Here is a 12666-nt window from a genome sequence, read left to right as displayed (position 1 = left end):
GTGTTCTGTGTTTCTCCCCATTTTTCACTCCACAGATTGGTCTACAAATGGTTTCTTTTGATCTACAAACTCAGCTATGCATTTGGTGTTGTGGGTTACTTGGCGATCATGTTTACAATGTGTGGATTCAATCTGTTTTTCAAGTAAGTATCTCCAATTAAGACATTAATATCTCCAAGCACTTGCTTGGCACACTCACCTGGTCATGTTCTCTTAATCCAGAAGCATCTGGCCCTACAATTTTCCATGCACACATGTTTTATAGTAGATATCCACACGTAGTCTTCTCTGGGGAAAACCAATAGAAAGGGAAGAAAGAAGCACCCTACAAAATAATTTTTTAAAATTAGGAGCTTTAAGGAGAATTTATATTTGGTCTGCAAATTTAAAAGATTGCTATTAACAGTGGACCTACAATTGTGCTAGAGTAATTCTTACTGAACTAATTTCTCTTCTACAAAATTCTCAAGTACCTAGATCTCCTTTTATATATATCTTCTTATCTAAAACCTCTAGAATTATGTTGTCCAGTATAGTAGCCACTAGCTCATGTGACTACTGAACACCTAAAATATGAAATAAGATGTACTCTAAGTGTAAAATACATACTGAATTTCAAAGACTTACACAAAAAACATTTTCATATCAATTACATTTTGAAATGATAGTATTTAAATATATTGGTGAGATTAATTTCACCTGTTTTTTGTTGTGTTTTTTTTTTTTGACTTATTAAATGCACCTACCAGAAAATTTAAAATTATATTTGTGGTTGTATTTACATTGGACAGCACTTCTCTCTTGAATTTGGTTTCTGATAGTCATGAAATGCCTTGTGTTGGGGATACTTGGAAAAGGAGGAAAAAGTGAGTGCTTCGAAATTGTAAGAGGCTGGGCGCCGTGGCTCATGCCTGTAATCCCAGCTACTTGGGAGGCAGAGGTGGGAGGATTGCTTGAGGCCAGGAGTTCAAGACCAGCCTGGTCAACATGGCCAGACCTCGTCTCAAAAATAATTTTAATTGGAAAAAAATAAAGCTGGGAAACCAAATAAATAAAAAAGATTTGAAGGATAGAAAACATGTCAATATCTATTGTTTAATAGATGGGGAGTTTTAAAAAAGCAATTGAAAGACAAGTAAAGGCATAAAACAGCAAGAAAGTCTAGGGAGAGATAAAGGAAGTAGGGATAACCACATCTTTGACCAACAGCTGTGCTCCCACTTAAGGTGGTTGCTGAGACATGCTGTGGATGGCATTCTCAGGGACACGACTGAGGCTGAGTAACCAGCCTGTGTCCTGGAAAGGGGACTGAAGACATACCACACAGCTATGGAAAGCAGCTCAAATACAAATCCCCCAGAATAGCTCTCACATCAAAGTTACTCTAAACTTCTGGGACCATAACAGAAATTGAAAAGGAGAGCTCATCAACCCTTTACTCAGAAAACAGGGAAGGCAATCAGATGGAGAGTCAGCCCTGGGTGAAAGGGCTTTTCCTATGGCAGCATAGCAATCTGATTTTATAAGCATTTCATAAAACTTTTGGAGCAGGAGCACCTAACATTTTCTAGCAGGAAAGCGGTAGAAAGTAATTGTACAAATCTATTATTGCTAGGTTAGGATATAGAAAGACACTGTAATGTCTTTTTTAACATACTGTCTATACTGGTTTATTTTAGTGAACATAAAAATACTCATAAGGATTTTTTTGAAATCACTGGGAACGATAGCTGTTCCCAGATTATTACCTCATAAGATTTCAAGATCCTTATTCATGAATTTTCCTACAGTAAGGCATACCAAAAACTTAACCCTTTAGAAAAGGAACTATTTTTTTTCACTACTTGATGATTATCATTGTATTAAGCTTTTTTCCTAGGGAGCCACAAGTGTGTTACTGTACTTTTTATCAATAAAATTATTGATACATATTTCCCTGGACATGGAAGAAAGATACTCTTCACTTCCCCCACTGTCCTAATTCTCAGATATACCCAGACAAATCTTGAAAGGATGAAGCTACCACCTGTGTTGGAAGCCTCAGTTCATATCACCCAAAAATCTGTACCTTCTAAATCTACAAAGCTGTCTGCCTTCACCATTTCTTCCTGCAATGAACAGAAAACAGAAATAGGTTTTAGAGAGAGACTACCCAACTCTTGTTCACATTTTCCTCCCTTCCCTGAATCAATCAGAACCACCAAGGGTCACCACTGATATTTGAGATTGTTTTATAGATAGAGCAAACCAAATGTGCAATTATTTAGATTCATAAATTAAATTTATGGCAAATTATTCACTTTTAAAAGAGATCTTTCCCTTAAGAAAAAAAAAAACTGGCTGGGGGGATGATCACAAAGAATCCTGGTATAATTGAAATATGATTTAACTTACAAAAAGTTTTTTTCAGTTAATACATAGCAACTCTGGCATGGTAATCAAGGGCTTCAAGATGTGAGCTTGATTTGTGGCTTTGTGATGTACCAATTTTTGTGTCAAGCAAATAATGTTTTCTAAGTCTCCATGTTTTCACATGTAAAGTGGTGGTGATAATATCTATCTCAAGCACTTGTTAGGAAAGATCATTAGAAAGTATTTTATAAAAATCTAAATTCTACAGCAGACATACTCAATCCTTGCTGTGTTAAAGAATCAATCACTTAACAAGCTCTTTAAAAATACTGCTGTCCAGACCCCAACCCGGATTAACTAAACTCCAGTCCTTGGTGGTGGGCCCATATGTTAATGTGCTTTTAAATCTTCCCAGGTGATTCTAATATATGTTTAGGGCTAAGAACTATTGCTCTAGTGGTTCTTAATGTTAGCTGCCCATTGGAGTTACCTGGGGTGTGGCCTGGAGATGGAAACTGTTACAAGCTGCTGAGGCCTACGTATAGCTGAGCCTGAAACCACTGGTCAGAGTCAGCTTGTCTAGGCACTGCAGTCCTAAGAAGCACTTGAAGGCTATCTCAAGAATTCCTTTGTCCAGTTGGCACTGAGTGCTACAATTTGAGGGAAATTCAGAGGATTTTAAATTATTTCATTTAAAAAAGAAAAATCAAACACATAAATGAAAAAAAAAATACCCACAAGGTTCTCTTAGATACCATCAACAGGAAATATTTTCCAAACTCCAGCTGTTTGGAAATATGCCACATTCTTATTTCCTTATACTGTTGTTTTCAATAGAATCAAAGCTAGAGATTCCATGGATTTTGGCATTGTGTCTTTGTTCTACGGCCTCTACTATGGAGTAATGGGGAGAGACTTTGCCGAGATCTGCTCAGACTACATGGCTTCCACTATAGGGGTAAGTGTTGCTTTCATTTTCTGAAACCATGTATGACACAAAGAGAAATGGTCTCATCTTACATGTCTGCATCCATTTTCAGAAACAAATAAGTCTTTCTCCATATACTGATTATTGTTTCCTTTGGAACTCTTTTGGTTCACCTAGACCAATTGCTCCCTGGATTCTCCTTTCATCAAAAAATTCTTTGTTAATTAATTGGAAAATACATGTCTTATGTATATAGAATACTTGTGCAATAAGGCATCTTTTAAAATAAAATACGCAAATTATTTATGTTATTGTATCTAGCATACTCCAATTGCCAACATTTAAGGATTAGTAAAACATTAACAATAACTAAAACCTTTCAGCTCTGTCTGAAACCCTGCCTAATGCAAATAAAAACTATAGTTGATGATGCATAAAACAGTTCAGAATCAACAGTGCATCTGGGTAATACTTATTATAAATACCAGTCACATTATATAGCATCTGAAGAAGTAGAAGATATAAAAAGTATGCTAGATGTATTCTGACTCTATACTGTTACCTAGAATTTTTTTAATCCCTAACAGTTGTTTTTCTTTTCTTTTTTTGAACTCTTTTAAGACTAAAATTCAGAATGGACATACTTTGGAGTTAGATGTATTCCTGATTCAGATATCAGGGGCATTTATCTATGTCTGACTCTTGCATATCTTAAAAACTTACAAACTAAAGGCTCTAGGGATGACTTAGTAGTTTCAAGAATTCCACATCTCTGTCCTCTACATGTGTCTCCTGGTACACAGCCAGATGTGAAGTAGAAAAATCAGTGTAAAGCAAAGACATGGAAACAACCCATCAATGATAGACTGGAAAAAGAAAGTGTGGTACGTATACACCATGGAATACTATGCAGCCATAATAAAGAATGAGATAATGTCCTTTGCAGGGACTTGGATGGAGCTGGAAGCCATTATCCTCAGCAAACTAACACAGGAACAGAAAACTGAAGACTGCCTATTCTCACTTGTACATGGGAGCTGAACAATGAGAACACATGGACACAGAGAGGGGAACAACACACACTGGGGCCTATCGGGAGCGGGAGGGAGAGCATCAGGAAAAATAGCTAATGCATGTGGGTCTTAGTACCTAGCTGATGGGTTGACAGGTGCAGCAAACCACCATGGTACATGTTTACCTATGCAACAAACCTGCATGTGTATCCTGGAATTTTAAATTAAATTTAATTTTTTTAAAAAAAGAAAAAAACAGTGTAAGTAGCAAGAAAAGGGTGAACTTCTGGACTGCTCCCTCCATTTCTGGAGCAGGACCTAAGTGGCTATGACCTTGACTTCCTCCCCACAGCAATTGTCCATCCCCTCCACCATAGGCTCTATCTTACTCTTTTCCTAAAGCCTGCAGCCCAAATTCTGTGGTGAAATGCTGGTACAATACAACTGCCTTTCTTATAAGGTTTAATGTGAGCACAGGAAGGAGTATTTTTATTCCCAGTTTCTCCAAGAAAAAACAGAAGTTATACCCCTTGGAAAATTCCCAAAACCTCTTGTGTTTATGGACAGAAAAGGAAGATTAGAATTATATGTGGCTGTTCTCAAGTGGACCAAGAAGAAGAGACTTTACCTGGCAAGACAACCAAGTCTTTAAGCACCAGCTTTTGGGAAACTTCTCACCTGATCCAACCCGACCAGTTCTTAACATTTTGTCATCCTGTCTGTTTATTCCAGCGACCAAATCTATAAAAACCACTGCCTCAAGCCATTGGTACAGCCACCAGTGATTTGGATTAATAAGGGGTGTGTGTGTGTGTGTCCACAGACACTTGTGCATGTGCTTGTGACTGAGGTAAGGACATACAGTCTCCATTCCCGTATCAGTGCCTAAGCCCCACACCAAAGCAAGTAAATCAGAATCTCTGGGAGTAGATCCAGTGCATCTGCTTCAAAAAAAAAAAAAACAAACAAACAAACAAACAAACAAAAAAAACTCCTTAGGAAAGGAATGAGCTATTAAGCCATCCAAAACCATGGGGTGAATCTTAAATGCATGTTGCTGAGTGTGAGAAGCCAGTCTGAAAAGACTCCATCCTGTATGACTGCATTTATCTGACATTTTAGAAAAGGCGCAACTATAGAGTTGCTAAACAGATCCATGGTTGCCAAGGCTTTAGGGAAGGAGCGTGGTTGAATAGGTGAAGCACAGGAAATGTAGAGTGGTGAAACTCTTCTGTGTGATACGATAACGGTGGATATATAACACTATACATTTCTCAAAATCCATAGAAAGTGTGAACCTTAAATTTATGCAAATTTTAAAAATAATTTAGGAAGTCAGAGAATCCAAGGGTAGAATTCAGATCATGCCAAAAGAATCTAACCATATTACAAATGTATGAAATAATGTCATTGAAAGGGGTGGGAAAAAAGGTGCTGACCTAAGTAACTTTGAAATGAATGGAGATCATAAGACTAAAAACAAAAGAAACTGTGTCATAAGCACTGTACTCTAGTTGATAAAGTTATTGCTGTCAAGTCTATGGGTTAACAATTTTGATACCACCATACATGTATTCTGTAATTGTAATTGTTTAGCTTAATATAGATATACATGGATAGATATAGAAATATTTACAGATATGTATGTGTGTGTGTGTGTGTGTGTTTGTGTGTGTATCTGTGTGTGTGTGTTAGTATATACAGATGAATTCCTTGTTCTGTCAGCTAAGAGGTCCTAGGGGCAATGACACCCCAGCAACAATGAACATACATAGTGTCCAGATCTTGTTTTCTAATATCATTCTACAATAAAAGGAACTGGCACTCCTTGAAGAAATGGCTCATTATAGGTCTGGGCAAAGAATACACAATATAAGCCTGGAGCATCTCGTAGTGACCAAAAGCAAGAAAATGCTAAAAACAAAACAAAAGAACTCCACAGTGATTGGGGATATGTCAAAGAGACACAGGAGCCAACTGAAAGAGCTCCCAATGGCCAAAGCTGGAATTTGAGCAACAAAATAGTAATAGTAGTAGTATTGGGTTATAACCCAAAGCATAAATATCCATGAGTCCACATTGATATCAAATAAATGATTGAATAAATAAATAAGTGGAAGAGAATAGTCAAATCTGTGCAAAAGAATTCCACATAATTTATATAAATTCTCCTCCCTTAACGAGGTTGTGATGATTACATTTTAGAGTCAGTTTGCCTAGGCTATGATACCCACTTGTTTGGCAAAATCACTAGTCTACATGTTGATGCAAAGGTATTTTGCAGATATGATTAATATCTATAATCAATTGACTTTACCTGAAGGAGATTATCCTTAATATTCTACATAGACCTCAGCCAATCAGTCGAAGGCCTTAAAAGCAAAAACTGAGGCTTCCTAGAGAAAAAGGAGTTCTACCTCAAGACTGCAACATCAATCTTGCCAGAGTTTCCAGCCTGCTGGCCTGCCAACCTGCTCTGCAAATTTCTGACTTGCCCACAAATGTGTGGGCCAATTCCTTTAAATCAATCTAATAATAATATAGGGAAACTAGATATGTGGTATATAGCCAATCTCTGTAATATTTTTGTATCTTTTCTTTAAATCTAAAACTATTATAAAATAATTTTCTTTGGAAAAAAAAAAGCTTCCTAGGGATTCTAATATGCTGCCAATGTTGAGAACCACTCCTTATCCACAGTACGGGAAGATGCAGATATCCCAAAGTAAAGTTCTAAATGCATTGCCTTCTAATGGTGATTGCTCAGCATGCACCCAATAAAAACATGGGGATTTAAATGACGGAGAGATGCCTCGGTTTACTCCAGAGATCTGAATCAGAATCTCCAGGACAATAAAGGGAAGGGCCAATCTATGGATTAAACTCAAAGGCTTCCTCTGAAGCTTCCTCTTAACTCCAGCCCTGGATAAAAACGATTCCTGTGAAAGGATTCCTCAATGTGGAGGTTAGATGAGAAGTTATAATTGGCAATGTGCTTTGGGTCCCTTTGGAATTCAATGAGTTTTTGCCTGGAAACCTTAACCCCTCTGTAGCATTCTTCTTACAGGAAACGGTGTCTCACATTCTAAACTATCTTAGAAGCAGTGGAGATTCTTTTTTTTTTTTTTTTTTTTTTTGAGACAGAGTCTTGCTCTGTCACCCAGGCTAGAGTGCAGTGGCGCAATCTCAGCTCACTGCAACCTCCACCTCCCGGGTTCAACCGATTCTCCTGCCTCAGCCTCCCGAGTAGCTGGGATTACAGGCACCCACCACCGCACCTGGCTAATTTTTTTGTATTTTTAGTAGAGACAGGGTTTCACCCCGTTGGCCACGCTGGTCTCGAACTCCTGACCTTGTGATCCACCTGCCTCAGCCTCCCAAAGTGCTGGGATTACAGGCATGAGCCACCATGCCCGGCCGCAGTGGAGATTCTATGTGCCAAGGGCTGCCTGTCCCAGTGCCTGGCAGTGGCTTCCTGCATTCAGAGAGTGGCATGTGCTCTCCTTTCTGACTGTGCTCTGTCCATTTCCTCTGATAGTTCTACAGTGTCAGCCGGTTGCCTACAAGGAGCTTATCGGACAATATCTGTGCAGTCTGTGGGCAGAAGATCATTGTGGAGCTTGATGAAGAAGGGCTCATTGAAAACACCTACCAGCTTTCCTGTAATCATGTGTATCCTTTTCAAAGGAAATTGTTTGGGCTTCATCAAGCCTCCTTCTTTCCTCCTTCTCCTCCTCCTCCTCCTGTCCCCATCTCCTCCATCTTGCTTACCTTCCATGCCCAAACCCCAGTCCTTTATCCTCCAGCCCAGTCGAGTCTTCCTGTTTGTCCCTGCTGAATAATGAACTGCTAATTAAGGTGAACCTCCTCCTCCAGTAATTTCCTTTCTAAAGAGGACTGTTAATGCCACATAGACAGGAAGGCAGTATCTGAGCAGGGTGCTGGCAGGGGAAATTGGTTGAAGTCATAAGTGAGCAGATAGCCAACAAAGATCAGGGAAAGAAGGGGTTTGGAGGTGAGAAAAAGAGTGAAGTATCAGGTGCAGGGGGGAACTTAAGACTATCCAAGTGGAGCCCAAGGTCTGAATCTTAGCAGATCAAGAAATACAAAGAGTGCTTTGCCTAGAAATAATCCTAGGAACCTACCTGTGGCAACAGTAGTCTTGGGGGCAGCCAAGGGAGGAAACCAAGCCTTCTTCTCAGCTTCAGTCTTTAGAAGAAGATACAGCCACAGGCAGCAAGACACCTTGGATTACAAAAGCAGGGACCAAAATTTGGACATTTGTTCTTGGACCATGGGCTCCTCCACCAATGGGTTCTATCCCAAATAGCTATCCATTGGCTGAGGGATCTTCATATGATAGGTACCAGACAGCCTGAGCCTGGAAACCAGCATTCTATGTGAACTCCAGTAACCATTAAGGAAAGCCTCAATGTGCTGAAAAATGCTGGCATCGAGACCCCTGAACAAATCAACCTGTGTTGCCTGAACATGTATGGACACTACTTTTGCTATGGATACCAAAGTTAGGCTTAGGTTGGCCAATCATCAGTATTTTAATTCTTCCTAAATACAAAAAAGGGTATCATTTATCTTTATTTTATAGTACAGTATCAATTTAATAATGTCATCGCTATGTACCCAGTTAGTTCAAAGCTCTGGCATTATGAGATGGTTAAACCATCTGTCTTTTGCCTAAAGCCCACTTAATTTAGTCAGTCATACCTCGGTGTCCAGTACCTATGATTCAATTCTGTTTAATCTGGACAGTTTCCACTTATTCAATCCTGAAAGTAAAACCAGGACCAAATGCATCTCAAAAGTAATAGGAGCCTTTACTCCAATACATAAGCCTTAAAATCTTAAGGGAAGAAACACAAAGATACCCCATATGGATTTCTGTAGTGGTTTTTTCAGTGTGATACCTTTCCCAAAAAACTCATTCTTTGTAGCAATTTTCCAAGTCTGGCCCTAGTTTTAAATATGATTTATTTTTCAAATGTTGGAACAGAGCCCCTTCTGCCATTTGCAAATGGAAATGTTTTCTCTCTCCACCTTTAAAAGCCCTTAGGGATTGTTGTACATGTGTGCATATATAATCTAAAATGTAGTCACCTTTAAATTTGCTTTTCAGGGAGTATTATTAATGGCCCATTTTAGCATGAGTCATATTAGTGAGAAATGGGCAAATATGAGTCATATTAACAAGGATGGGTTATCTGAGTCTTGCTCTGCAGAAGTTCTGCCAGTGTGCAAGTTTTTCAGCATTGAGATTTTGAAAATGAAAAAGAACATTAGAGAGAATGTGGACATTTCTGTGCTGACTCAATGGCCCCTGAATTCTATACCTCTGTAGAAGATGGGGCTGTATTCCAGCCCTTTTGAATGAAAGGCTGTTTGAGTTTTGGTTCAAAATCTTCGTTATAATACACCACTTTATTTTAAAGCATATTGCAAAAATGACCCCAATTCCAAGAACATAAAATAATGGAAACTCCTGGTTACATTGAAATTTAATACTGAGGAGTTATATACATGGCCTTGACTTGCTACACCTCCAAGCTCCTCCATTTGTTAGGGAGGGAACTTCTACATCGTTGCTGTTCACCTGGGTGTGTAGCAGGCCAGTCAGAAGATCATGTGATCTTGGCCCAGAAAGTCACATTGGGAGCAGCGATTGTAGAAATAAACAAATCAGTAGGATGGATTTCATTATAGTTCATTTTGCCCAAATCCATAGTATCAGGGAACATGGAAATATATATTCCCAAAAATAATCAGTTTTGAAAGAGTCATTCAAATGTTCATTCAATAAATATTTCTTAGGCATGGCTTAAGGTGCTGAGGACACTGAAATGAATGAGACATAGTCCTACAGGTAACACATGGTCTAGGAGAAACATGTAAGTACCAAAAGTCCTGCTACACTAGAGTAAGTCCCTGGTGCTGTGAGAACACATAGGGTTCACTCAAGTTTGGGGACAAAGGGTCAGACTTTCTGGACCAGGAGACGTATACAAATGGATCTGTAAATGCCTAGAGTTTGAGAAGTTAAGTTTAGTAGGTATATATTCTATTAAAAATAATTGGCTCCTTATCAGTACTTTTAAAAGTCAAGAAAAAAAATTATGAAGTTAATGGAAATATTTGTAACTTTATGACCACAAATAATTTTAACTTGTCTAAGTGCCTAAGACAAGTCTGATTACATGAAGCTAAAGAATAATGCACAAAAAGTAGAACAGAGAAATGCTACGGTAAATGCCTGAGAAACGCACAATAACAAGGTGGGGAAATATAACAATACACTTATGGAAGACATCACTGTAAAGGAAAAAAAAAAAAAAGGACTCATATTCTTTATCTAATCTAATTCTTACCAGAATCAAGTGAGGCAAGAAGGCCAAGAAGCTAAGTAAATTCCTCAGGGTCATAAAGCGAAGGCAGCTGTGACTCCAGGCTCACTGTCATTGTCAGGTCCCTTACAGAACCTCCCGAAAAAAGCGATGTGCCTCATCAAGTCATGACTCCACCACTAGACCCTGAAGATGGGACCATTCCATGCCATCATGAACCAGACATTGCCTTTTCATATCTAGAAGCCTCCCTAACAAGATGCTTCAGCTTTCATGAATTCTGCATCCGAGGTTGGTGTATCGTTGGGAAAAAGCAGACTTGCCCTTACTGCAAAGAGAAAGTTGATTTGAAGAGGATGATCAGTAATCCATATCCTTTAAAACAAAAAGGTTATAAGAGATTATCTTGAATGTTTCTGGGGATATATTCTTCAATGAAAAGTTTCAGTGTTTTTGTATAGTTCCAGCAGAAAATTTTTTGTTTTCCCTAACCACCTATTTCAAAATGACTTATGGTCTCTTTTCTCCTCTGTGCCTATATTACTATTCTGGTTAGAAAGTTAAATGCCAGAAAACATTCCACTCTTTATGTTCTATATTTTCCACATTAAGGGCTGTAGTGGAAATGTGATGAGACACTGCAAAAAATAGGTAAAATATATGGAAGAATATTCAGGATGGATGGATGGATGAATAAATGAGTGAACTGGATGGGTGGGTAGATAGGTGCATAAATAGAAAAATTGGAATTGAAATTTTAAAAGCCGAAATGTGAACTAGAGTACAGAAAACTATTTTTAAAATATGTTAGGGTGTACCAAATTTTATTATTCCCAGAAATGAGTAGGTATTTCCCCGTCTGGATTTTGGCTTTTTAAATTCCATGCCATGCATCATCTCTTCTTAGGCCAAACACTAGTGATAACAATATTGAAAATAAATAAAGATTTACAGAGTTGATCAGCTTCTGGCAGCCACTGAGATTTGTATAGACATCAGAGGTGTGCAACAGAATAAATTCAAGTCACATTAAGGTCGCAGGAAGGTAATGGCCCCCATCAGGAGCTAACTAGAAAGACTTTGTCTTCAACCTCACTATCTCAAGACCATAGTATATCTCATTCAGGAAGCAGGGTGGGAATGGAATTAAAACATATCCTCCCTTAAGCAGAAGAGTCCTGAAAGGTTGGCATCAACCTGCCAAGTACCATCTCTTCTCTAAGAGACAGCCTTTCTGTACTTTCTAAGTAATAGCTAAATTTTACAATGCTAAAGGAATCACCTTCCTTGCTTCCTGCTCCCCTGTTCCTCACCAACCCTATACGTATGGTTTAACAATGGCTACTGGCAGCAATGCCCTCATCTCTGGGCACTGCAGATCAGGGAGGGATTCAAGGAGGGCATCAGAGAAGGAGGCAACATCAGTGGATCTTTGGGTCTCAAGGCCCATACCATTGCAAGAGACCACCCTCTGCAGTGCCCACTCCATCCACAGACCTGGCCTTTCTCGGTGAGTCAGTGCCACTCAAGCCCAACTCAAGGCTAAAAGTGTGTGATGATCCTTCCACCTTCCTGTTCATCCACTGTCCTGGAATTCCTCTTCTAAAATGAGGATACCAAGTCCAGAACAGTTTTTGGTTATTAACCTATAAAACCTCAATGCATAAATCTTTGTTATAAAATTGGTGATAATATGATCATAAATGTCACCTCAAGTGATACTTTAACAAAGGGTCATTCATTTCTTTATGTAGTCTTGAGAAAATAAACTGTTGAATAAAACATATACTACTCTTTTATTGAGACTCAATATAAGAAAAAACTACATGTGAAAAAGCTGTCATTTTGTTTGTAAAATTGTTGTCGGAGACACTATGCATTCATTAAGCTCCCTAGCACAGTTTATCAAAGACAGCAGAAAAAGGTCTCTCTTATCTGATGAACCAGTGTTATTCTTTGTAATATACAATGGGTTCATTCTAATGTATGACTACAGGAAAGCCCAGAGCTGTTTTTG

General features: G+C 38.6%; 1 protein-coding gene and 1 long non-coding RNA gene across 9 annotated transcripts in view, besides 1 other annotated feature; one reads left to right on the top strand and one right to left on the bottom strand.

Annotated features, from left to right (window-relative positions):
* Window positions 1-12666, top strand: part of RNF175 (ring finger protein 175) — a 49865-nt gene that overhangs the window by 36531 nt on the left and 668 nt on the right. For 6 of the 8 annotated variants that reach the window (XM_017008047.2, XM_005262939.4, NM_173662.4 and 3 more), the window contains 4 exons: window positions 36-143; window positions 3190-3310; window positions 7832-7965; window positions 10918-11019. In XM_017008047.2, the coding sequence (XP_016863536.1) occupies window positions 36-143; window positions 3190-3310; window positions 7832-7965; window positions 10918-11019 (465 nt within the window). Of the gene's footprint in view, window positions 1-35; window positions 144-3189; window positions 3311-7831; window positions 7966-10406; window positions 10788-10917; window positions 11020-12666 lie in introns of those variants that run through there. The other 2 variants (XM_011531882.3, XM_005262938.4) reach the window with 2 other exon arrangements.
* LOC105377499 (uncharacterized) lies at window positions 2842-3196 on the bottom strand. The gene is made up of 2 exons (XR_007058334.1): window positions 3091-3196; window positions 2842-3002 (listed from the first exon to the last, which is right to left on the bottom strand). It is a non-coding gene; the product is annotated as an uncharacterized LOC105377499 (long non-coding RNA).
* Window positions 3439-3608: an enhancer, noted in NCBI's record as "experimental_74840 CRE fragment used in MPRA reporter constructs". NCBI's record gives its function as "activates a minimal promoter by MPRAs in K562 erythroleukemia cells, with activity observed for both the introgressed and non-introgressed 4:154641123 variant alleles {active_cell/tissue: K562}" and the evidence as "EXISTENCE:reporter gene assay evidence [ECO:0000049][PMID:34662402]".

The sequence above is a fragment of the Homo sapiens genome, chromosome 4 (genome assembly GCF_000001405.40).
Source record: "Homo sapiens chromosome 4, GRCh38.p14 Primary Assembly".
Lineage (NCBI taxonomy): Eukaryota > Metazoa > Chordata > Mammalia > Primates > Hominidae > Homo > Homo sapiens.
Note: the sequence above shows the minus strand (reverse complement) of the source record. Positions and strands in the feature narration are given on the sequence as shown.